The following is a 27189-nucleotide window of genomic DNA, read 5'->3' as shown; positions in this document are numbered from 1 at the left end:
CTCGGACTTGGGCCTCCCAAAGTGCTGGGATTACAGGCGTGAGCCTTTATGACTGGTTTATTTCACTTAGCGTAATGTTCTCAAAGTTCATCCAGGTTGAAGCAGGGGTCAGAATTTCCTTCCTTTGTAAGGCTAAATACTATTTCATTGCTTGGCTAGACCACATTCTGCTTATCCATCCATCTGTCAGTGGACATTTGGGTTGCTCCCATCTTTCGGCTGCTGTGAATAATACTGCTATGAACATGGGTGTTCAGGTATCTGTTCAAGCCCTTGCTTTCAATTCTTTTGGGCTTGTACCCAGAAGCAGAATCTCTTGCCCTTTGGATTTTTAAGCCAATTTGCCCTTGGAAGTCCAACAGAGGCTGGGTGCAGTCGCTCATGCCTGTAATCCCAGCACTTTGGGAGCCCAAGGCAGGTGGATCACCTGAGGTCAGGAGTTCGAGACCAGCCTGGCCAACACGGCGAAACCCTGTCTCTACTAAAAATACAAAAGGTAGCCGGACGTGGTAGTGCATACCTATAGTCCCAGCTCCTCGGGAGACTGAAGTAGGAGAATCACTTGAACTTGGGAGGCAGAGGTTGCAGTGATCCAAAGCCACACTACTGCACTCCAGCCTGGGTGACAGAGCGAGACTCCCTCTCAAAAAAAAAAAAAAAGCCCAACAGGATATTCTGACCACCTGGGATCTCTGTTCGCTAGGAGAGACAGAAGAAACTGAAGGAGAACAGTGAAAAAAAACAAAAGCTAAGGGGATCATGAATTCAGTCATTCTGCAGGATCTCAGTTCAACGAGTTTGCTAAAACAGAAATCAGGGAGGGGTGGGTTGTTATTTGAAATGCAGATGCCCAAGGCCCACCCCTTCCTAAATCAGAAAGGGGGGCATTCCACTCACTGGGATGAAGAGGGCAAAGGAGGCCTCGTCAGATTCTCTCTGGCCCTGGGCACACTTGGTGGTGCCTACAATGACCCATAATCCACTGTGCCTGGGGCTCCTGGTCCTACCCTTAGATAGAGCCAAATTAGCCCTGGCTGGCTGGGTTGTCTCTTACAGTCTGTATTAGTTTGCTGAGGCTGCCATAACAAAATACCGCAGCCTGCATGGCTTAAACAATAGATGTAGTTACTTTCTCTCAGGAAGGCTGCAAGTCCAAGATCAAGGTGCTAACAGGGCTGGTTTCCTTTGAGTCCTCTCTCTATCCGTGGTTGATTGAATTTGAGAATGTGAAACCAGCAAATACAGGAGGTCCAATGAAGGGACCTGAGCATCTGAGGATTTTCTGTGGGGGATCCTGGAGCCAATCCCTTCAGAGAAGAAGGCTGCACTCATAATTCCACTCCTCTAAAGTCAGTTGTTTTCACGAATCCTGGTTTTCTTTTAATCCTTTGTGTGTATGTGCTTGCTTCCTGTGATAGCGTATGCATGTCCCACATTGTTACATGGCAGACTTCATGGTTGTCATTTTTAGAGCTTCATTAAAGTTCATCTGGTTAATGTACCATGATTTAATTGTTCCTAATTGCTCATCCACGACTTCTCTAGGTTTTCACTGCTACAAATAAGAGAGTGATAAATTTCTCACTGCTGTAGCATTTCCCTTCTTTTGGGTTACTTCTTAAATTCCCAGGAGAGAGACTATTTTGCAAAGGATGTGAACATTTTTATGGCTATTGATACTTTTTGCCAAATTGCCTTCCAAAAATATTTGCACAGTCATCAGCAATGTTTAAACACACTAGCGTTCACCACGGTCTTGCCAGCATGATGTAGCACTGTTCCATTACTTTTAGAGATTTCCTTTTTTAAAATTTGCATTTCTTTGATAGCTAATAATCTCATCAAGCTTTCCATACATTTGATTATTCATTGTGTCATCTCTTAAGGAGACTGGCTGTTTAAGCCTTTTGCCTGGTTACTATGTGAGGTCAAATCAGGCATTTATAAAGTGTCTAATACATACTCACTACCATGGGGTGCTATAGGGGGACCAAGGAAGTATAAGACCTGGTTCTTATCTTCCAGAAGGCTATGATTGACACTCACATCTTATTTACTTGTTGTTGATTTCTTTGTACCCAACCTGCTGCTTTGCACAACCTGTATGCTTCATAAATCTTTATGTAGTTAAATCCCGGATGACATGTTTGTTGTCTTTGTGGTTCACAGAGATCAGCACTCAATTTAAAGGAATGCGGAATCAGAACCCAAAATAAGGCTGAAACCCAGAGAGATAGCTTAGACCTGGTCAATTAATATGGACACACATGAAGTAGTGCCCCACAAATGGGGAAGCCACGGCTTGACATCAGTTTTTAAAGCAAGGTTGAGGGTTTGAGTTTGGCAGGATGCAGTCTATGAGTCAGTGTGTGACATGCCTGCCACCAAAAGCTATCGTGATCAAAGTTACGTTCATAGAGAATAAGGGAGGCACCAGTATTATTTGGCTCCATGCAGGTTAGACAACTCCTCAGTGTTTCCTTTTTTTTTTTTCAATTTATTATTATTTTTTTACAGTCTCATTCCCATCACCCAGGCTGGAGTGCAGTGGGCACAATCACAGCTCACTGCAGCCTCTTCTTCCTGAACTCAGATGATCCTCCTACCTCAGCCTCCTGAGTAGCTGGCACTACAGGCCTATACCACCACACCTGGCTAATTTTTTGTATTTTTAGTAGAGATGGTTTTGCCATGTTGCCCAGGCTGGTCTTGAGCTCCTGGGTTCAAGTCATCCACCTGCCTCAGTTTCCCAGAGTACTGGGATTACAAGCATGAGTCACAGCGCCTGACCTCAATTATTTTTTTTTGAGACAGGCTCTCGCTCTGTCGCCCAGACGAGTGCAGTGGCGTGATCTCGGCTCACTGCAACCTCTGCCTCCCAGGTTCAAATGATTCTCCCACCTCAGCCTCCCAAGTATCTGGGATTGCAGGCAACTGCCACCATGCCCAGCTACTTTTTTTTTTTTTTTCTATTTTTACAAAATGGAGTTTCACCATGTTGGCCAGGCTGGTCTCAAACTCCTGACCTCAGGTGATCCATCCACCTTGGCCTCCCAAAGTGCTAGGATTACAGGCATGAGCCACCATGCCTGGTCTTAATTTTTTATTTTTTAAAAAATGTTAAACCTACAGAGAAGTTGGAAGCTATAAAGAGTGCTATATACCCTTCATTTTAATATTGTTAACATTTTATGCCATTTGCGTGTACCTGCTCTCTCTTCTCGCCCCACGTTTGTTATTACCATTTTTAATTTTTGTGGAACCATTTGACAGTGAGTTGCAAACTTCACCCCTAAATATGTTAGTGTGTATTTACAAGAACAAGGACATTGTCTTATATCACCACTATACAATTACTGAATTCAAGAAATCTAATGCTGATTATAAATACAGTATATCCATATTTAATTTTCTTCCGTTGCTCCAAGAATGTCCTTTATAACCATTTTTAAAACTCCTGATGCAGGATCCAATCCAGAATATACATGTGGTTTTCATGGCTCCATAGTCTTTTCTAGATGGGTTCCTTGCCTTTCACTGTATTTCATGACATGGACATTTTAAAGAATGCAGGCCAGTTGCTTGCTATCCTGTCCTTTAACTTGGGTTTGTTTAATTGTTTTCCCATGATTGACGTAGGTTAAACCTTCTTGGCAGTAACACTTTCTAAGTCATTTGAGGAGGTGGATTGTGTCAATTTGTTCCTGTACTGGTAATGGTAAATTTGGTTAAGGTAAATTTGGTCAGAATAATCTACTGTAAAGCTATCTTTTATTCCCTCTGATTAAGAAGTGATCTGTGGGGAGACACTCTGAGGCTGTGTAAATACACTGATTGCCAGCAATCCTTCACTCCATGATTTTAGCATCCACTTACAATTCTTGCCCGAGTCAGTTATTACAAAGGTGGTCATCAAATGTGGCTTTTCTAACCCTCTTCATTGCTGTTTTCCTCTCTGACCGCTGCAATGTAAGGTGGCTGCAGACAGTGGTGTGCTGGTCAGCTCTGATTACGTGCGTCTTTTCCTAACTCCGTAGTCAATGATGTCATGTTGGTAGCTTGAAGTCGGTCATAGTGGGATATTTACACCTCAAACATTGGCAAGCACCACAGCTTAGGCTTCTCCCCAACCCCTTGGAGAACCAGTTGTTAAACATTTATCAGCATACCGCTGGATGCATTTAAGCTAAAACACATTCAGGAAAGAATGACTTTGGCAATAAAGGGACTTTATAATTATTTTTAGTCAGAGTCTCACTCCCGTCACCCAGGCTGGAGTGCAGTGCTCACTGCAGCCTCCATTTCCCAGGCTCAGGTGATCCTCCCACCTCAGCCTCCGGAATAGCTAGGACTACAGGCTCACACCACCATGCCTGGTTTGTAAAAACACAAGCTTTTTGTATTTTTAGTAGAGACAGGGTTTTGCCATGTTGGCAAAGGAAACCTTAAGGAAAGGGGATCCATCTTCAAATATTTAGAGGGCTATCTTGTGGGGTACCCTCATTAGTTAGGATGCAACCTCCTAACACACCCCACCCTTCCAACCTCTTGGTGCTTCTATGTTGGATGGCTCCTTCAAGGCATCACAGGACTGCACCTCTCCCACCACTGGCTTCCTATCAAGGAGCCAGCAGGGAACAGAATGGAACACAGAGGGTGCAGGTCACCTTGAGCAGGAAGAGGGATGCTTCTTACTCTCATCTGAGAAGAAGCAGTGTGTTTGCAGAACTATGGTGAGGTGCAGAGGAGGTGGCATTCATGCTAAATGATGCAGAGGAGATGGTGTTCTTGCTAAATGGCTTTCATGTTCTTGGTAAAGTGGATATAGTTACTTCCAAGAATGAGAGAGGCAAAGCAGGCTTCAGCATTAAGAAGCATGAAGATGCTTTGAGATAGCAGCAAAGGGCATTTTTTTTTCCAGCCCTCCAACCCACTCAAGGCAGCCCAACTCCAGGATGTTCAAGCAGCACAAGAAAGGGCCAAGTCAGCGTAACACTTCTGCAGTACCGTGCAGCCCGAGAGTTAAAGTGGGGAAGGAAGTGGACGCAGGTGCTCAGAGTTCACCACTGATGTATACAAAAGTTGATAAACTCTCCCAGAGGCCGGGGCATCGGAAGGCAGCTCTGGATCCAGGCATGGCAGTGATCCGGGCATGGCCAGAGGAGGGCAGGTGGAGAAGGTCAAGGGGCTGGGATCAACCTGCCAGTTGAAGCAATGGGCAGCTTTCCTAACAGTGAGAGAGCTGGCAGGCTTGGTGGTGGTGGTTGGAAAGTGAGAGAACAGCGTTCTGGATCTCTTTGGAAAGTATCAAGCAACTACCTAGTTCTAGGGAGAGCAGTAGTGGGGGCCACCATCGTGAAGAGGGTGAAAAGCTGTGCGTTCCAGCAGCCAGAAAGTCACAATCATAGGGAGGAGGTGGGATAAAGGCACGTGGAACATACTCTGACTTGGGGCTGCAAGACTCAGTCTCGAGGCCTGGCTGTCACTGGCTAATGGTGGAAAAGCTATTTCTTGCTGGCCTCAGCTCTTCATCTCATGTGAATGGGGGCTGGGCGCAGTGGCTCACACCTGTAATCCTGGCACTATGGGAGGCCGAGGTGGGTAGATCACCTGGGGTCAGGAGTTCAAGACCAGCCTGGGCAACATGGCAAAACCCTGTCTCTTCTAAAAATACAAAAAAATTAGCAGAGTGTGAAGGTGCACGCCTGTAATCCCAGCTACTCAGGAGGCTGAGGCAGGAGAATCACTTGAATCCGGGAGGCAGAGGTTGCAGTGAGCCGAGATCACATCACTGCCCTCCAGCCTGGGTGACAGAGTAAGATTCTGCCTCAAAATAATAATAATAATAATAATAATAATAATAATAATAATAATGATGATGTAAATGGGGATTAAATGTTGGTCAAGAGTACAAAATGAGATGATGTCCACAGCAGTGCTTTGTGAAATGTAAAGCTCTATACATCTGTTTGGAGTTCCTCTATAAATATTAATGCCTACAAATCTGAGAATGAGTGTAGGAAGGGGAGGTGCAGGGTGTGCATGGAAAGGATGTTAATAACAACACCGAGAGTTTGAATTTGAATAGGACTTTGCAGTATATGTGGGGTTTTCTTCCCATCTATTTGATTTTCTCAAATGAGATAATATCTGCATAACACAAAGCACAGTGCTGGGCCTGTAGTAAGTGCTCAATTAGAGTTCATTCTTTTCTTGAGTCCTCACACAACCCCATGAGGTAGACGTTATTAATTCCATTTTAAGGTCAAAAGTGAGAGACTCAGAAAGACAAATTCCCATGTCCAAGAGTATGTATCAGCATAGCGGGTAGTGGTCAGGACTCAAACCCAGGCCTCTGGACTCCAAGGTCAACATTCCTTTCTTTCTAATCTAACTAACTGTGTCTAAGGACCCAACCAATTCTCAGAGTCTATTCTAAATCTAAATTGATTCCATTCTATTTAGAATCTATTCTGAATTATAAAATCTGCTTCCTCTATATCATCTACACTTCACACAAAGCTGCCAGCTTTTGAAACATGGTAAATATAAGACGTATTGTGGGTTTTTTTTTTAACTATATGATGTTAAAAGTTATCATCAGAATTTTTCTCTTTTGTAGAAAAGACTCTGAATCCCCATAAAATCATATTGTGATTGATGATTGTCACTAGCAAAATTTCATAGGAGTGTTTTGTAAGATTAAATATTTTTGCAATCCTGAAGATATCCAACCAATCTAATAATGCAAAATACTCTAGGCCCAATTAATCTTTCAAAGTAACTCTTGCTCTCAGTGTTAGTGTTTTTAATTGGGAAAACCCTCCCTGTTTGGGTGAAATGCCTTTTGCATTATGGTCAGTGATGATTTGGATGGATGGATGGATGGATGGATGGATGGATGGATGGATGGACAGATGGTTGGGTGGGTGGATGGGCAGATGGGTGGGTGGGTGGATGGGCAGATGGTTGGGTGGGTGGATAGATGGACAGATGGGTGGACAAATGGATGGATGGACAAATGGATGGGTGGGTGGGTGGGTGGATGGATGAATGGATGGGTGGGTGAGTGGGTACCTAATTCTGACTTCCTATACAGCAGAGTAGATATAGTAGAAAAAGATGTGAACTGGGTTTTGAGAAATATGCATACAAGCCCTGATTTCATCACCAATAATCTAGGTGATCTGAGACATTTCACATCACATTTTCCAGCCTTTGTTTCCTCACATGAAAATGGTAAGTAAATTATTATTAAGGTCACTTTTGGCTCAAAGTGTCCACGATCTTACTGCACTGTGAGTCCACCTTTTAAAGAACAGTGACGTGAGAAATTTGACACTTGGGCTCCAAACCTTATGTTCTGAGAGAGGAAACCCAATAAAGGCCTAGATTCCTGGCAAGTGGGACTCAGATTTCTCACATGCTTACTCGTGAGAATAATTTCCAGCCTCCTTAAAATACTTTATGACCGGCTCAACAAGTGAAGAAAGACGAATTTGAGAAAATCACCAGTGGGGAGAGCTTATGCTGCTCCAACCGAAAGCTATGTGGAGCCCCTGGGGGAATGATGGTGAGCTGTTTGAAAACAAGCACTTATGGAACAAATTGTCCAGAAAGATAGAAGCAGAGAAACATGCTTGCCGCCCTCACTGATTTCAGATTACAGCCTCATGGGACTGTGGCCAGGAGGCAGACTGGAGAAAAATACAGGAGGGGCCTCTAACGCAACCTAGGGAGTCTCTTGCTAGGGCAAGAGGGACAGATTGTGGTGGAGTAGAAAGAGGCAGATAGTCTGGGGCTCCAATTCTGGATTTAACATTCACTAGCAGTGTTATCTTGAGTAAGCCACCTGATCTCTCTAAGCTTCATCTGTAAAACTGGACATATGAATAGCAACCTCAGAGGATCCCATGAAACATAATACATGCAGTCCCCAGCCCATTGCCTGGCACTGAGTAGACTCCCACGAATATTAGCTTCCTTTCTTCTTCCATCCAGTTAGGTGGATGGGCCATTGGGTTAGTCATCTCATCTGTATCTCTGTCTAGCTGCGTGACCCAGGACAAGAGGCTTCTTGTTTCCTTACCTATAAAATATGGAGGGGCATCACAGTGGTTGCCAGGGTCTCTTACAGGCCTGACATTGCTACTCTCTGGTCTAATTCCTGCTGAGACTGGCAGTACACATCTGTGGCCTGGAAGAGCAAGGACAAGAGTCCATGGTGGGGGACATGCAAAAGTCAGAGCTCACTCATTGACCTGGAGGTTGAAACAATGATGCTGGACTGACAGCCAGGTTGTCCACACCACGTGAACACAGCCCCCAGCTCTGACCCAGCCACTTGCACTGGTCATCTCTTTAGAGCCTGCAAGTTAATGTCCCAATATCCCTGACCACGGGGCCCAGCCATTCATGAGCAGGGAGAAGGGGCATGGTGTTTGGGGTGGTGGAGTGCAAAAAGTCCCTGTCATATACATTTAATGTTCAAGTTGATGCAAGTATCTTGCCTGCAGATCCAAAACCCTAAGTTTCTCCACAACATCTGTCTCTGAAGACTACTATAAAACTTTAAAAATTCATACATGTGTCAGATATTCTGTGTATGGTATAAAGTGGCCAACATAGTGCCTGACAATCAGTAGGTGCTGAATGAATGAAAGCCCCCTCCACCGTTAATCAGGCAGGACCCACTTATTCCATAAACAGAGAATATCTCTGCAAGAAGTATTGAAATGATCTCATGTTTTTTCTTCATAAAGTTTAGACCACTTATTCGTGTTTAAGAAATATATATATATAAATGGTCAGTTTGCTGGCTCAGTGATGAAATGAGGTTCCAGAAAGGAGTTACTAGTTTACGATGGGTGGGTGCTACATTTATATAAAAGGGTGTGTACAAAGTGAAATCCAGCAAGCTGGATTTTTTTCCTCTTTAATTTTCACATAGATTAAAAACTGCTGGAGATAAGGTCAACTCTGGGCTGTAGAAGAGCAGCCTCACGCCCATCTCTCTCCGTGTACTGATTCATTGTAGGCAGAGGCTTTCCTGCATTGCCTGTCGATGAGGATTTTCCCTTAAATGCAAAGAAAGGGGTCTGGGAAAGTCAGTGAACATCGACTACAGGGCAAGTCATTTATCTCTAAACAGGCATGTGAGGTTTGAGAACACAGTCTAAATTTGTCAGATAGGGTTTTATTTCTTCACAGACATATTTGATTAGTGAGTCTTTGAGGGCCCCTTTCTAGAAATAACTGCAAGAAAACACCAACAAACCCCATGAAAGTATGGAGAAGATTCCCCACAAGATTTTTTTTTATTATAGTTACAATCCCACACCAATAAATTCACCTTCAAACATTTTTAAGTACACAGTTCAGAAGTGATAAGTATATTCACATTGCTGTGCCCCACAGGACATTTTAAGTTTCTAAACTGAATCATCAGACCCTGCACGTGTGTTAGCCAAGGGTGGCATCAGTGATTTGAGGAAGCGCTTGGTTCTAGAAGCACCCCATGGCCTGGGCTCATTGTAGGCTCTTCTGAGTGGGCTGGGACAGTATCGCCTAATGACAAGACCACAGCTTGGAAATGGGCACCCGCCGTTACTGCCCACCCCAACTTCTTTCCAGTTCATCTTTAGGAAGAGCCCTCCCTAACCGCTAGTTATGGACTGAATTGTGTCTCCTCCAAATCCACACGTGGAAGCCCTATCCCCACCCCGTGCCTCAGCATGTGACTGTATTTGGAGATAGGAACTTTAAAGAGGTGACTAAGTGAAAATGAGGCCATTAGGGTGAGCCCTGATCCGATATGACCAGTGTCCTTATAGGAAGAGGAGATAAGGACACACAGGAAAATGCCAGGGATGTGTTTGCACAGAGGAAGCACTGTGGGAGGGCAAGAGAGAAGGCAGCCATCTACGAGCCAAGGAGAGAGGCCTCAGGAGAAGCCAGCCCTGCCAACCCCTGGAGCTCAGACTGCCAGCCTCCAGAACTGTGAGAACATAAAAGTCTGTAGCGGAAGCCACCCAGTCTGTGGTATTTTGTGATGGCGGCCTGGGATTTCTATGGAAATCAGAGCCGGAGCCAGGGCCTTGGAAGTTCTTGGTGAGAAGGGGTCCTGAGCAGCAGGAGTCAGGGACTTAGAGAGAGTGAAATCAGGAAGGAGGAAAAGCAAATGCCAGCATGTGTCCTGGAGTTGGTCCCCACTGTGGCAACTGGGGCCTCATGCCCCCAGGACCCAGGAGCTGTGCAGCAGGGGCCTGAGTTGTCTGGGGAGAGCGCTTACCTGCCCACTCCTGTCCCCGGGGATCGGGACTTCCCAGAGGGTGAAGGTCATGCATAGGTGAGTCCCAGGTTGGTCCCAGGATTCTGAGAAGTCCCACACGTGCTAGGGGCAGGAAGCAGGAGGTTGGAGGTATAGCTGGGGTGAGCCCTGCCGGGTTACACCTCCTGGAACTTGGTTTTTCCTTTGCAACCATTCACTTTATACTACTACAGTATTTCACTACTATCTACTGATCACCTACCAGGTGCAAGGTTCTGTGTTAGCTGCTATGTTACTCAAAAGAGCAAGTCTCGAATGCTACTTATAAATTTGCAAAGACTGAGTTTCATTAAAACTCTTGGTTTTCTGGCAGTGCTGGTAATGATTTCAGACACTCTAGCCTCCAAAATGGGAATCCGGGAATATTCTCAATAGGAGGCTTTTGATTTAGAATTCATCTTGGATCCCATTTGCACAGTAAACAGCAGTAAGGTGTCACAGACTCTGCCTAGACCACCAATAGGGAATGCTAGGGCCAGGGCACAAAGTAGCCAGCCCCGCCTCTGGGCACAGTAATAAATACATTGGTGGGTTTTTTCTTCCTTTTAAGTTCTGACAGGCCATCCTAATATGGAAATCCGTGACCATCAGCTGGCCACTGCACGGTGTGTGTTCCATGCTTCCGCGGATTCAGTTAGTGCTCACCAGTGTGCCAGAGACAGGGTTTATTTGCAGATGATGGGCATCTGGGTTGCAGCCAATCCACCATTCCAGTGGGTGAAGCATCCCCACCTTTTTTTTTTTTTTTTTTTAATGGAGACACAGTCTTTCTCTCTCACCCAGGCTGGAGTGCAGTGGTGTGATCTCGGCTCACTGCAACCTCTGCCTCCCGGGTTCAAGCGATTCTCCTGCCTCAGCCTCCCGAATAGCTGGAATTACAGGCATGTGCCACCACGCCTGGCTAATTTTTGTATTTTTAGTAGAGATGGGTTTTCGCCATATTGACCAGGCTGGTCTCAAACTCCTGACCTCAAGTGATCTGCCTGCTTCATCCTTTGCTTTGTTTGTTGGACCCTGCCTGTAAGACCTAGAATTGGCCACTCTCCTTGTCCTACTGGTCTCTGAAGTGACCAGGGCCAGCTCAGGGAGGCATTCAGGATACCATACCTATGTAGGCAACCATGTTGCCCTAGAGCCCCCAGCGGATGAGTCTCCAGATGGCACTTGCATTGAACATCATGGGTCACCTGTGCAGAGAAGGAAAGTCTCTCTGGTTCTTTCTCAAAGGGGTCTCCTGCCGCTCCAAGCTACAGCTGAAAGCTCTGGGCTCCTCCTAATTCTGGGCAGGGGCTGGCGGGGCATAGGCATCTGGGAGAAGTCAGCCTGCAGCCTGTAAATATTTATCTTATGTTTCCTGCTGAGCTAGGAACCAGGGCATGTGGTTCTTTAAAAAGGAAAAATAAAAAGGGCTTATCGAAAAATTACCAATGTGCTGCCCTCCTCCCTGGGTACTAATGAATGTCCCCAGGACCTCCCCTTCCTCGGTCTTCACTTCTCCTGCCTTGGCCCTTCCCCATGGCTCCACGCAGCCCAGAGCAGGCAGTATTTGTTTGAATGACCCACTTACCCTGCTCTCCCCCTATCTGCTGGGAATGGGTGGGGCCAACAGCCTGGTCCTAGAATCCAGACGTGTCATTGTTGGCCCAGGGATCTGGGAGTGCTCCCGGGTCCTCTGGCCTGGCTGGGCAGTGCTGAGATCCTGAGCCCTCTCCCGCTCCCTGGGTCTCAGCCTTCCCATTCCTTTGTGCCTCTGGCCCCAGGATTGACTTTTCTGCTTTGGTGCTGTCACCCTGCTTGCTCTTAGCAGCTCTTCTCTGGGAGCCTAGACCCTAGAGACCTGCTCCCAGACTCCAGACTAGAGGCTGGATGTTCTCACTCCACAGATGGTCTTTATGGGTGACACCTACCTGGCTCAAGACTCTTGTGCTCCAACCACCCATTGAGACCCCATTCTCTTGTCTTGCTAACCCCCCTGTTGGCCATTTCTCCATCTCCACTAAGCAGCCTGGGTTGCGATGCTGTGACCTCTTCTTTAATGACACTGGTCTCCTGCCCAGGCCTGTTCCTTGAGTCAAGAGAAACTGCCAAGCTTTGGATACCTGTTTTAGTTTCCCGAGGCTGCCTAACAAATTACCACCAATGAGACAGCTTAAAACAATAGAATTGTACTGTCTCCCGGGTCAGAATGCTAGAAATCAGAACTTGGATATCAGCAGCCTTGGTTGCTTCTGGAGGTTCAGGGAGAATCGATTTCCTGCATCCTAGCTAGCTTCTGGAGGCTGCTGACAATCTGTCAGTACAGACTCCAGTTGTCAACATTCCCTTAAGAGGTGGTACTTGATCAAAATGAAGTTTTCCAAGGTGTGAACAGACTGGACAAAGTATGATGGAAGGGTCACCTCCTTCATGCTGGCCGTGAGACTTCTAGTAAGATGGCCCAAACTGGGCCCTGGGCAGCTTCATCAGGACTTTGCAGACTTTAGCCATTGGCTTGGGCCTATGCAGTCTTTGGTAAACTGAATATCTCTCCCATTTTGGAGATGAAAAGACTGAGGCCAGAGGAGTATAAGTGACCTTCCTAATGCCATGCCTCCTGCCCCCTGCTCCAGGGGTTCATGCCACTGCTCCACTCTGGAAGATTAACTGAAGAGTGGTTAATGCAAGGAAGAGCTCTGGGGGAGATGAATCCATGACCCAGTCACAGCCCAGGTAACCACAGGAATTGCCCACTGGAGAAATCATCATCAGCCAGGATCTGATTCTAGAACCAGTGTGTCTGTCCAATCATGGACCCCGATTGGGTGACAAGTATTGAGACAGGGCTGCTGGAGAATGGAAAGCCTGATAATTTCCTGTAATCTCTTCTCATGATGCCCCTGGAGCTCCAAGAGACACCACAGCTTATCAGAAGTTGTGAGAACACTCTGAGTTTTATAAGTTCTGGTTTTCAAACTGGGAGCTTAAGTGAAACAGTGCGACCTCCCAGGTCGAAATCCCAGGGCTGATTCAAGGCCGCATTTGCCTGGGAACAAGACCCTGAAGTGGGCAATTTTCTTCCTTGCCTCTGTCTTCCTAGCTCTCCTAGCCCTTCCTTTCTTCTGCAGGCATCCCTATCCCCAGCTGGTCCTCTGCACCCTGGGAGGTCCCCAGGCCTGCCCATCAGCTGCCTTCTCAGCACCTACCAGCTCTAAGCCCTGCTTCCTGTGCAGGAAACTGGACCGAAATTTGGTTCCATATGGGGACAGCTGACAATCAGCTGCCCTTTCCCAGAGAGTTCATTTTATTGCTGTTTATTACACAACCAATATTCACATAAATCCAAATGAAATGAGAAAATTCTTCCACCATCCCACAACAGAGCATACTAGCTTCCTTTTTCATTTTCTTTTGCTAGCTCCATCCGTATGCATACCCAATTCTTACAATTCAATTTCTGGGTTTTTTCCCCTACTTACTATTTCATAAGCATTTTCCCAACTTCTCCCTGTCTTTTATAATTATGATTTTGATGACTGCCTAAGAGTCCCTCAAGGGGACACATTTAATTTACCCATTCTCTTGCTCCTCAGTCTTTTTTCAATCATGATAAATAAACAGAGAAAGGTTTCCCCTGTTTTGAAAATTTTCCTAATAATAAATTTCCAGAACCTGAATTAGGTCAAAAAACATGGACATTTTATGACTTAAATATTTCAGCCAAATTACTTTCCAAAAAAGTTATATAAGTTTATATTTATGTTATAGATTTTAAAATGGGCCCCACAGTGCACTCACCACATGAATCTCATGAATCTGCCCTGTTGTCTCTTTTTTTTTTTTTTTTAAGATGGAGTCTCACTCTGTCACCCAGGCTGCTGTGCAGTGGCATGATCTTGGCTCACTGCAACCTCTACCTCCCAAGTTCAAGCAATTCTCCTGCCTCAGCCTCCTGAGTAGCTGGGACCACAGGTGTGCGCCACCACAGCTGGCTAACTTTTGTATTTTTTGTAGAGGCGGGGCTTCACAATGTTAGTCAGGCTGGTCTCGAACTCCTGACCTTAGGTGGTTCACCCGCCTCAGCCTCCTAAAGTGCTAGGATTACAGGCGTGAGCCACTGTGCCCAGCTGAATCTGCCCTGTTCTAACCACTTGTCACTGTCTAATATTTTGAAAGAGTAGATTACATCTGCTAGTCCTAAAAATCAACGCCTGCAGCCCAAGAGGGCAGCAGGAACCCATCCTGCTAACCAGGGATGTTAAAGGACCCTGCTATGGGCTGAACTGTATCCCACTAAAATTCACATGTTGAATCCCTAACCCCCAATGTGACTGTATTTGGAGGCAGGGCCTTTAAGGAGGTTTCTAAGGTTAAAGTAGGTCATAAGGGAGGGCCCTGATCCCATAGGACTGCTGTCCTTATAAGAATCAGAAGGGACGGCCAAGCGCCGTGGCTGACGCCTGTAATCCCAGCATTTTGGGAGGCCGAGATGGGCGGATCATCTGAGGTCAGGAGTTCGAGCCCACCCTGGCCAATATGATGAAACCCTGTCTCTACTAAAAATACAAAAAAATTAGCCGGCTATGGTGGCAGGTGCCTGTAATCCCAGCTACTGGGGAGGCTGAGGCAGGAGAATCACTTGAACCCAGGAGGCGGAGGTTGCAGTGAGCCGAGATTGCGCCATTGCCCTCCAGCCTGGGCAACAAGAGCGAAACTCCATGTCTTAAAAAAAGAAAATGAAAGAATCAGAAGGGACACCAAGAGGAAAGGTTATGGGAGGATACAGCAAGAAGGTGTCCTGCGAGCCAGGAGGAGAGGCCTCAGGAGACACCAGCCTGGTGGCACCTTGATCTCAGACTTCTAGCCTCTGTAACTGCAAAACCATAAACGTTTGTTGTTTAAGCCACCCGGTCTGTGGTATCCTATTACAGCAGCCGGAGAGGACTAATACAGGGTCCCCCTGGAATTGCTTATTTGCTTATTCAGAGTTGCTATCTGAGTCACAGAAGATCGACAGTAGTTAGTTTTTTATCAGGACCAGCTTCGTAATTTGCAGGGCTCCATGCACAGCAAAAATGCAAGGTTCTCAGGCTGGGCATGGTGGCTCATACCTGTAATCTCAGGACTTTGGGAGGACAAGGTGGGCAGATTGCTTGAGTCTAGGAGTTCAAGACAAGCCTGAGCAATATGGTGAAACCCCATCTCTACACAAAATGCAAAATTTAGCTGGGTGTGGTGGTGCACGCCTGTAGTCCCAGCTACTAAGCAGTCTGAGGTAGGAGGATCTCTTGAGCCCAGAAAAGTTGAGGTTGCAGTGAGCCGAGATGACGCCACTGCACTCCAGCCTGGGTGACAGAGTGAGAGTCCATCGTAAAATAAAATAAAAATAAAAGAATTAAAAATGCACGGTTCTTTGGCCGGGTGCGGTGGCTCACACCTGTAATCCCAGCACTTTGGGAGGCCGAGGCGAGTGGATCACTTAAGGTTAGAAGTTCAAGACCAGCCTAGCCAACATGGTGGAACGCGTCTCTACTGAAAATACAAAAATTAGCCAGGCGTGGTGGCGTGTGCATGTAGTCCCAGCTACTCTGGAGGCAGTAGAATTGCTTGAACCTGGGAGGCAGAGGTTGCAGTGAGCTGAGATCGCACCCCTGCACTGCCTGGGTGACAGAGCGAGACTCTGTGTAAAATAAATAAATAAATAAAAATGCAAGGTTCTTTGTCCAAAAAGCAGGAAAAAAGCTGTTTCCTTGCTGCCATGGTCTCTTTCAACCAGTCACTGTTGTTCTTTCTCAGGTACAGGGACACTCATGAGTCAGAGTCAAGATACTTATAGGTGCCTAGAGCCCTATCCTATGACTCATCACACATACCAGGCCTGACCCTGACCATTGCCACTGGGGATAGAGAGGAGGGGTGAGGCACTGGGTGGCTGGACCCCATTCTGGGGTGGCGAGGGGGTGGTGGGAGGTGGGACTGCACCTAAGCCAGGGGTCCACATCCCCAGCACAGGCTTCATTGTGCCTTAGGACTTCCCTGAGAAAACACAAATTCAGAGATAAATTCATCACCAGTTTCAGAAGAGCGACAGCAGAGAATTAAACCCCCAGCATGGGGCCCCGTGTGACTGCACTGGTCACACACCCTGAGTGCAGGCCCTGGTTTTCTCCTGCATCCCAGGGTCAGGGAAACCCTAATTGTTTCCTGTGCACAGCACTTGAAGTGCTAGAGCTCTACTGATAACTTCTTTCTTGCAGATTCTGAATGAATATTATGTTCTGCTTTTAAATGAATTTTCCATTAAAGTCACATGAATCCAGACCTCAGTAAATGCAACCCAGTTTTGCCTGCCACCTGAAGGAAGGCCCCTCCCTTTTTCTCGGCACTTGTATTGATATGCTTGCTGTGCAGTGGCGTTCCGTCCCATCCCTTCTGACACTCTGCCCTAGATGTGATGCTCTGTGAAGTCTGATACTCACCTTCCTTCCTTCTTTCCGTGTCATTAGCCTAAAGAGAAGGCAGGACTTGAACACAGGGCAAGAGAAGAGACATGGGCTTGGAGCTGCTTCCTACTAGCAGGGTGGCCTTGAGCTATGTATTAGTCCATTTTCACGCTGCACGTAAAGACATACCCAAGACTGGGCAATTTACAAAAGAAAGAAGTTTAGGCTGGGCGCGGTGGCTCACGCCTGTAATCCCAGCACTTTGGGTGGCCGAGGGGGGCGGATCACCTGAGGTCCGGAGTTCGAGACCAGCCTGACCAACATGGAGAAACCCTGTCTCTACTAAAAATACAAAATTAGCCGGGCATGGTGGCGCATGCCTGTAATCCCAGCTACTCCGGAGGCTGAGGCAGGATAATGGCTTGAACCCAGGAGGCGGAGGTTGCTGTGAGCCGAGATCGCGCCATTGCACTCCAGCCTGGGCAACAAGAATGAAACTCCGTCTCAAAAAAAAAAAAAGAAGTTTAATAGACTCACAGTTCCACATGGCTGGGGAGGCTTCACAATCATGGCAGAAGGTGAAAGGCACGTCTCACATGGCAGCAGACAAGAGAAGTTGTGCAGGGAAACTCCCCTTTATAAAACCATCAGATCTCGTGAGACTTATTCACTGTCATGAGAAAAGCACGAGAAAGACCGTTCCCCATGATTCAATTACCTTGCACCGTGTGCCTCCCACAACACATGGAAATTGTGGGAGATACAATTCAAGATGAGATTTGGGTGGGGACACAGGAAAACCATATCAAGCTAGTTACTGAATTGCTGTGGTTTGGGTTATTTCACCTGTGAAGCGGTGATACTATCTGCCTGCAGGACTGGGGGGGACCATACCATGGGATTGTAGGGCATTTGGCAATTTGCACTCTGCCATTGCTTCCTAGAAAGAAAGAGGGGAGATTCTCCATGCTGTTTTGTGTGAGGGAGGAGAGTGGTAGGCAGCAGGGCTTTTGGAGATTGAGCATTCTGAGCCTGCCTGAGCTCTGCCACCTTCTTGAGTTTCTCCATCTGAAAATGGGCATAACAATTCTACATTGTAAGTGTGCTGGGAAGAGTAAAGGAAGCAACTTCTAATAAGAGACTATAGCCAAGTTTGGCATACAGTAGGTGATTAATAAATGTCATCTCCTTTCCTGCTCCGCCTGCTTGGAGTTTGCCTTGTGACTGACCATCCCAGCAGTAGGTTTGGAGGACAGGGTAAGGGACAGATGGCACAAATTCACCCCAATTTCATTCTTCAGGCAATCTCCTGACTTCCTGAGCCTCTCTTTTCTCATCCTTAAATGAGATTCAGCATACTTGCTCCCCTACCTCCCAGGTTAGTCAGCTTGAAAATTAAGTGAGGCAATGGATGCAGAATTCTTTGCAAAGATAAAGGGTTATGATTCACACCAGTGCCCAAGGTTTAGGTCACTAAATCTCAAATAGGACCCTTAGCTTCCTTCTTCCCTCCCATACACATGTACCTACCCAGCTGGCACTGTAGGGACACCTGATGTATTGGGGGAAGGCAGCCTATCTGGTTGGATCACATATGGACCATCCTGACCTTATGCCATTTTTTTCATGGACATAAAGGACAATTAGAGAAGAGGGAGCAGGCTTGGGGTGGGCTGTGGGTGGGGAGGCAGTGCTGTGCAGATGAGAAGGTCGCAGTGGATGTGCAGGGGCAAGCCACCTAGCTCAGGCCGGGGCCTGCAGCAGACATGAATACATTAATCATAGATTATTACACTACTATGCTAATAACATTCATTAGTATTCAGTAATCAATATTGAGTCAGAGTCTTAATTTGAATCTCTACATGGTTTCTGCCACACAGCCTGACCCCAGCCTAGGTTTATCATGAGGAACTCACTCCCTTCAAAGCTTATTTTATAGGAGTGTCTCTGACCATTAAAAAGTGTGTTCTTGGCCAGGCCTGGTGGCTCACGCCTGTAATCCCAGCACTTTGGGAGGCCTAGGTGGGTCAGGAGTTTGAGAACAGCCTGGCCAACGTGGCGAAACCCCATCCCTACTAAAAATACAAAAACTAGCCGGGTGTGGTGGTGGGTGCCTGTAGTCCTAACTACTCAGGAGGCTGAGGTAGGAGAATTGCTTGAACCCAGGAGGTGGAGGTTGCAGTGAGCCGAGATCATGCCACTCCACTCCAGCCTGAGCAACAAAGCAAAACTCTGTCTCAATAAAGAAAGAAAGAAAAAAAAAGAAAAGAAAAAGAGAAAGAAAGACAGACAAGTGTGTTCTCCGTGTCCACCCTTTCAGCAGTTTGGCAAAGTGGGGCAAGAGCTGGGGACTCTGGAACCAAACTGCAGAGCCCATGATCAGTCACCACGGTATACTGTCCATGAGACCTTGTGAGTTACTGAACCTCTGTGTGCCTCAGTTTCCTCATTTGAACTATGAGGATCCTAACAATACTTATAGGGTTATAATAGGATTAAGTGTATTAATATGGGAAGCACTTAGAACAGTGCTTGGCACATACTCAGGGAAAGCCACTTGGTATTACACTGTTCTATGATCTGCTTTCCCATTTGTGAAAGTATAAAAGTTGAAGAATAATTAAAACACATTTAAAGTAGGCCAGGCAGAGAGATAAATGAGCTGTTTGCATAAACATGAATTAAGAGAGTCACACTCAACTAAGAATTATTCCCTGTTGAGGACAGCAAACATCTGGAAGGAATTAAATGAGGAAAGAGGCTGGGTGGTGGTGGTGTGTAAGCAGAGAACACGCTCTGACTGTTGGAAGGACATAATTCTCTTCTGGGATGTGCAAATGATCCCAAAAAAGGAGGCTGCCCTACGCAAGTTGATGCCCAAAGAATATTTATCCCCAAATAATTTTTGTTCTGATTAGCCCCGGTACCTGAAGTATCTTATTCCTATGAGCTGATGCATCACCTTGAAAAGGCCGCTTCTAAAATGCAAATAGACTCACATAAAAATAATGTTACCATTTTATATCTGTGAAATTCACAACATGAAAATTGTAATACTCAGTGCAGTGAGATTGCACTGAACTCGGCACATTTTAAAATCTGTAATGTAAATGTAAATTAGTATAACTTTTTTTGAGAAGTAGTTCGGCTGGAATTTTTAAGAGTCATAAAAATGTCCATGCCTTTTGACCTACTAATCCAGCTTCTGGAAATTTATTATTAGGAAAAATTTCAAAGGGAAGGGGAGGAACCTTTCTGCGTTTATTTACCATGATTGAAAAAAAGGATTCAACAGTAAGAGAATGGGTAAATTAAATGTGTCCTCTTGAGGGACTTATAGGCAGTCATCAAAATCATAATTATAAAACAGAGGATAAAAAATGCTTATAAAATGATTACAATATAATAATAATATTAGGTGGGAAAAAACCCAGAAATCAAATTATAAAGATTGAATATGCATATGAACAGAGTTAGAAAAACAAAATGAAACCAGTGTGCTCTGTTGTGGGACACTGGAAGAATTTTCCCTTGTTTAGGTTTATGTGACTATTTGTTGTGCAATGAACAGCAATAAAAGACCCAAATGAACTCTCTGGGAAGGGGTGGATGATTGTCAGCCGTCCCCATATGGACCAAGTTTCAGTCCAGTTTCCTGCTCAGGGAGCAGGGCCCAGAGCTGGTAAGTGAGGAGGCAGCCGATGAGCAGGCCTTGGGACCTCCCAGGGTGCAGAGGACTAGCTGGGCTTAGGGACCCCCACAGAGGGAAGGAGGGGCTAGGAGAGCTGGGGAAGACAGAGGTAAGGAAGAAAATTGTCCACTTCAGGGTCTTGGCCCTCGGCAGATGTGTCCTTGAATCGGCCCTGGGGCTTCAGTCTGGGAGGTTGCCCTGTTACTCTTAGTCACTCAAGGTCCCAGTTTGAAAACCAGAACTCAAGATCCCAGTTTGAGAACCAAAACTGGAACTGTTCTCACAACTTCTGATAAGCTGTGGTGCCTCTTGGAGCTCCAGGGACATCATGAGAAGAGACTGACATGAAATTATCAGGCTTTTTATTCTCCAACAGCCCTGTCTCAATACGTGGCCAGCTCCAGCCTACATCCCAAGAGATCTAAATGCATATCTGGCACAAACCTCTCAGAACCTCTCAGATTCTTACCTCTCAGGTTTTCTTACCTGAAAGAAACCTCTCAGGATTCTCACCATCTCACACTTGAGATCAAACTGCACTAAATAAATCCCATAGGAAATAGTTAAGGTCTAGATTATACGGCAGTGTTTGTGATCCTCTGAGAGCATCTTCTATTAATTTATTTTATTTATTAATTTTTTATTATACTTGAAGTTCTAGGGTACATGTGCACAACGTGCAGGTTTGATACAACATGTGCCATGTTGGTTTGCTGCACACATCAACTCATCATTTACATTAGGTATATCTCCTAATGCTATCCCTCCCCCAGTCCCCCACCCCCTGACAGGCCCCGGTGTGTGATGTTCCCTGCACTGTGTCCAAGTGATCTCCTTGTTCAATTCCCACCTATGAGTGAGAACATGCAGTGTTTGGTTTTCTGTCCTTGTGATAGTTTGCTGAGAATGATGGTTTCCAGCTTTATCCATGTCCCTGCAAAGGACATGAACTCATCCTTTTTTATGGCTGCATAGTATTCCATGGTGTATATGTGCCACATTTTCTTAATCCAGTCTATCATTGATGGACATTTGGCTTGGTTCCAAGTCTTTGCTATTGTGAGTGGTGCTGCAATAAACATACATGTGCATGTTCTTTATAGTAGCATGATTTATAATCTTTGGGTGTATACCCAGTAATGGCACTGCTGGGTCAAATGGTATTTCTAGTTCTAGATCCTTGAGGGATAGCCACACTGTCTTCCACGATGGTTGAACTAATTTACACTCCCACCAACAGTGTAAAAGCATTCTTATTTCTCCACATCCTCTCCAGCATCTGTTGTTTCCTGACTTTTTAATGATTGCCATTCTAACTGGCATGAGATCATATCTCATTGTGGTTCTCATTTGCATTTCTCTGATGGCCAGTGATGATGAGCATTTTTTCACCTGTCTGTTGGCTGCATAGATGTCTTCTTTTGAGAAGTGTCTGTTCATATCCTTTGCCCACTTTTTGATGGGGTGGTTTGTTTTTTTTCTTATAAATTTGTTTGAGTTCTTTGTAGATTCTGGATATTAGCCCTTTGTCAGATGAGTAGATTGCAAAAATGTTCTCCCATTCTGTAGGTTGCGTGCTCACCCTGAGCAGATCCCATTTGTCTATTTTGGCTTTTGTTGCCATTGCTTTTGGTGTTTTAGTCATGAAGTCCTTGCCCATGCCTATGTCCTGAATGGTATTGCCTAGGTTTTCTTCTAGGGTTTTTATGGTTTTAGGTAACATTTAAGTCTTTAATCTGTCTTGAATTAATTTTTGTATAAGGTGTAAGGAAGGGATCCCGTTTCAGCCTTCTACATATGGCTAGCCAGTTTTCCCAGCACCATTTATTAAATAGGAAATCCTTTCCCCATTTCTTGTTTTTGTCAGGTTTGTCAAAGATCAGATGATTGTAGATGTGTGGTGTTATTTCTGAGGCGTCTGCTCTGTTCCATTGGTCTATATCTCTGTTTTGGTACCAGTACCATGCTGTTTTGGTTACTGTAGCCTTGTAGTGTAGTTTGAAGTCAGGTAGCATGATGCCTCCAGCTTTGTTCTTTTTGCTTAGGATTGTCTTGGCAAAACGGGCTCTTTTTTGGTTCCATGTGAACTTTAAAGTAGTTTTTTCCAGTTGTGTGAAGAAAGTCATTGGTAGCTTGATGGGGATGGCATTGAATCTATAAATTACCTTGGGCAGTATGGCCATTTTCACAATATTGATTCTTCCTATTCACGAGCATGGAATGTTCTTCCATTTGTTTGTGTCCTCTTTTATTTTGTTGAGCAGTGGTTTGCAGTTCTCCTTGAAGAGGTCCTTCACATCCCTTGTAAGTTGGATTCCTAGGTATTTTATTCTCTTTGTAGCAATTGTGAATGGGAGTATACTCATGATTTGGCTTTCTATTTGTCTGTTATTGGTGTATAGGAATGCTTGTGATTTTTGCGCATTGATTTTGTATCCTGAGAGTTTGCTGAAGTTGCTTATCAGCTTAAGGAGATTTTGGGCTGAGATGATGGGGTTTTCTAAATATACAATCATGTCATCTGCAAACAGGGACAATTTGACTTCCTCTTTTCCTAATTGAATACAAGGAGGCAAATTCTAAGTCTGAACAGAATACAGAAAATTCTGACAGTCAGCACTAACTGAAGATGGAGAGACTGGTGTAAGCAGGGGTGCCAGGACCCTTTTGCAATGTGACCTTCTTAGATTAAAGTGCTGGGTGGGGGAGAAGTCGAGGCAAGGCTCCAAGACCCCTTCAGCCCTGTGAGCCTCTGAGCCTAAGCTGGAATGACTTATCTCCTCCAGGGTGGCCACCACAAATGCCGTGTGCTTCCAGAAGCATCACTGAAAGATTGTAACAGCTGATCTTTCCATGGCTAGAGAGCCCTCACAACCTATATCCCTCCTTCTCAATGTGAAGTTCTGGATGAGAACTTATTCCATCTGATTTTTCTCATTGTTTGAACAAGCTGTGTACCAAGTTCCCCAGTTACCTCCAAGATTTTCAAGGTGGAATTTGTTCTGTGCCTCATCTGCCCCCACCTCCTACCTATCCCACCACCAGGCCTTATTTCCCTTTCTGTGGTATGCAGAGCAGAGTGGGGAACAGCCGTGGACAGGACACAACTAACAGACAATGAGCATCCCTAGACATCCCCACTCAGGATTTGTAGCATACCTGAGTCAGAACAGTCCACGACCTCCCAGGAGATACAAGGATGCTAGATTCTAACGATGAAGACACACATCACTGTTCTTAGTATTATGCAATAGCTGCTTATAACCAAGAAAAGGGAACCCTCCAAGAGGAAGGGGTGGGGGATCACTGGGATGGGTTTTTTGCTGAAGAGGAAATAGAGGATCTAGAAGAAGAAGTAGGGCCGGGTGCAGTGGCTCACACCTGTAATCCCAACACTTTGGGAGGCCAAGGCGGGCAGATCATGAGGTCAAGAGATCGAGACCATCCTGGCCAACATGGTGAAACCCCATCTCTATTAAAATACAAAAATTAGCTGGGAGTGGTGGCATGCACCTGTAGTCCCAGCTACTTGGGAGGCCGAGGCAGGAGAATCACTTGAACCTGGGAGGCAGAGGTTGCAGTGAGCCAAGATTGCACCACTGCACTCCAACCTGGCGACAGCAACAGAGTGAGACTCTGTCTCAAAAAACAAAACAAAACAAAAACAGAAAACACAACAAACAAACAACACAAAGAAGTAGAAGATGCAGAGAAGGAGCATATCAATATAAAAGCAGTCTTCATTGGATTGTGTCTGTCCAATCATGGACTCTGATTGGGTGACAAGTATTGAGACAGGGCTGTTGGAGAATGGAAAGCTTGATAATTTCACGTCAGTTTCTTCTCATGTTGCCCCTGGAGCTCCAGGAGACACTGTGGCTTATCAGAAGTCGTGAGAACACTCTGAGAACACCCAGACAGGCTGTTGGCACAGCACGTGAGCAGAAGGGAAAGGGCCCCGAACTCAGGAGGCCAGAAAATAGACACGGTGGCCTTGAGCCTGGCTGAGTCTGCTGCCGGGGTGCTCTTCCTTTAGGCAGTCCTGGAGCTGACTTGAGGGGAAGCCCCCAGGCTCTGGAGCAAGCATTCTTAGTTAAGGTTTACTTGCTGTAAATTTTTACCCTGGGCAATGCTAATAGCTCTGAAAGGGGATAAGAATGGTACTGTCTTAGTCTGTTCAGGCTGCTATAACAAAATACTGTAGACTGGGTAATTTATAAGCAACAAATGTATTGCTCATGGTTCTGGAGGCTGGGAAGTCCAAGATAAAGGTGCCAGCAGATTCATGTCTGGTGAGGGCCTGTTTCTCATGGATGGTGCCTTCTATGTGTCCTCAGGTGGCAAGAAGGGCAAACAGCTCCCTCAAACCTCTTTTAAAAAGTTGCTAATCTAATACGCGAGGGCTCTGCCCTCGTGACTCAATCACCTCCTAAAGACCCCCCTTACTATGACTTTGGTGATTAAGTTTCCACATTCGAATTTTGGGGGGCTTATTCAGATTGCAGCAGGTACCCACCCTCTAAAGTTGAGAGGATAACACCACCCAACATCTTAAGCTGACCTACATGAAACTGCTGATATGCAACTGCTTTTCAACATTCGCAACTGGCAGTTTCCTAGGGGTCCACTGAATTAACCTATGATAGTTACACTAGAACAGCAGCTCACAAACTTGTCTGCACCTTAGAATTACTTCTGGATCTTCTAAAAATTCCAAAGCCCAGGTAACACCGCATACCAATTCAATCACAATTTCTGCAGGTGAGACACCTAGCCAGGTAATCTAATGTGCAGGCAGGTTTGGGGACCACTGGTTTAGCACAATACCTGGGATCTAGTAAAGCGCTCAGCACACCACCTGTGATTTTATTCGTCTATCATTTATTGAGCACCTACTGCATGCCAGGCTCTGACTGGGTTCGCCTCTTGTCACCCGGGGCCTTCCTCCCCAGCGGTGCTCAAGTCTCCCCTCTTCCTCCTCCGCAGTGTCCAGGCCGCGCAGCTCCCCTGACGACCTGAAGGCCCTGACTCGCAATGTGAACCGGCTGAATGAGAGCTTCCGGGACTTGCAGCTGCGGCTGCTGCAGGCTCCGCTGCAAGCGGACCTGACGGAGCAGGTGTGGAAGGTGCAGGACGCGCTGCAGAACCAGTCAGACTCGTTGCTGGCGCTGGCGGGCGCAGTGCAGCGGCTGGAGGGCGCGCTGTGGGGGCTGCAGGCGCAGGCGGTGCAGACCGAGCAGGCGGTGGCCCTGCTGCGGGACCGCACGGGCCAGCAGAGCGACACGGCGCAGCTGGAGCTCTACCAGCTGCAGGTGGAGAGCAACAGTAGCCAGCTGCTGCTGAGGCGCCACGCGGGCCTGCTGGACGGGCTGGCGCGCAGGGTGGGCATCCTGGGCGAGGAGCTGGCCGACGTGGGCGGCGTGCTGCGCGGCCTCAACCACAGCCTGTCCTACGACGTGGCCCTCCACCGCACGCGGCTGCAGGACCTGCGGGTGCTGGTGAGCAACGCCAGCGAGGACACGCGCCGCCTGCGCCTGGCGCACGTAGGCATGGAGCTGCAGCTGAAGCAGGAGCTGGCCATGCTCAACGCGGTCACCGAGGACCTGCGCCTCAAGGACTGGGAGCACTCCATCGCACTGCGGAACATCTCCCTCGCGAAAGGTACCGCCAGGCCCTTGCTGCCTCCACCCACGGCCCCTTCTGATGGGGTCTTCCTCCTGCACGCCCCTCCCCAAGGACCCAGGAGTACCCCAGCCCCACCCCATCCCCAAGTGCACTTGCCATTCCCAGCCCCATACTCTCTAAGTCTTGCCCTACAGGACTCTGGAATTTTCTGCCCAAATGGCATGTACCCACATCCAGGGCTTGCACAGGTCTCTTCCCAGGTAAACCTCCCTCGGGTAGAGAGCAGATTCAGTGGCCACTCTTCTAGATGTGAGAGTTTGCTCCAGTTGTGGCTAATGGGAGCCTGGTGGTCAGCTTGCGTGGGTGTGCTGGAGCCTCCAAGAGCTTGAGGCTGGGGGCAGAACAACTGGCTCAGGCCGGGAGTAGAGAGGGGCTCCTCTAGTGTCATTCCCAGGGTGGAGATCTGGAGTTAGAGAATTCCAAACTTGAACCTGGCCTTCTAGGCTCTTAGGAAGACTTACTCATTTAGGCAAAAGAACGTATTTCATTGAACGATCAGCTGGTTTCATTTGTAACTGTTTTTTGTTTGTTTGTTTGTTTTGTATTTTGTTTTTTTGTTTTCTGTTTTTTTGAGACGGAGTCTCGCTCTGTAGCCCAGGCTGGAGTGTAGTGGCTTGATCTCAGCTCACTGCAAGCTCCACCTCCCGGGTTCACGCCATTCTCCTGCCTCAGCCTCCCAAGTAGCTGGGACTACAGGCGCCCTGTAACTGTTTTTGTTGTTGTCGTTTTGTTTTCTGTTTTCAAGTTGGGGTCTGGCTCTGTTGCCCAGGCTGGGGGGCAGTGATGTGATCATGGCAGCCTTGAACTCCTGGGCTTAAGTGATCCTCCTGCCTTAGCCTTCCAAGTAGTTAGGACTACAGGTGCACACTGCCATGCCCCACTACATTTTTTTGTTTGTTTTTTTGTTTTGTTTTGTTTTGGTTTTTTTTTTTTTGAGATGGAGTCTCGCTCTGTCGCTCAGGCTGGAGTTCAGTGGCATGATCTCCCTCACTGCAACCTCCACCTCCCAGGTTCAAGCGATTCTCCTGCCTCAGACTTCTGAGTAGCTAGGATTACAGGTG

At 46.6% G+C, this 27189-nt stretch overlaps 1 protein-coding gene across 4 annotated transcripts in view; it reads left to right on the top strand.

The window, feature by feature from the left end:
• Window positions 1–27189, top strand: part of SCARA5 (scavenger receptor class A member 5) — a 122791-nt gene that overhangs the window by 44999 nt on the left and 50603 nt on the right. For all 4 annotated transcript variants that reach the window (NM_001413201.1, NM_173833.6, NM_001413203.1 and 1 more), the window contains one exon: window positions 25430–26104. In NM_001413201.1, the coding sequence (NP_001400130.1) occupies window positions 25430–26104 (675 nt within the window). The remainder of the gene's footprint in view (window positions 1–25429; window positions 26105–27189) is intronic.

The sequence above is a fragment of the Homo sapiens genome, chromosome 8 (genome assembly GCF_000001405.40).
Source record: "Homo sapiens chromosome 8, GRCh38.p14 Primary Assembly".
Lineage (NCBI taxonomy): Eukaryota > Metazoa > Chordata > Mammalia > Primates > Hominidae > Homo > Homo sapiens.
The sequence above is the reverse complement of the archived record's forward strand: the minus strand, read 5'-3'. Positions and strand labels throughout refer to the sequence as shown.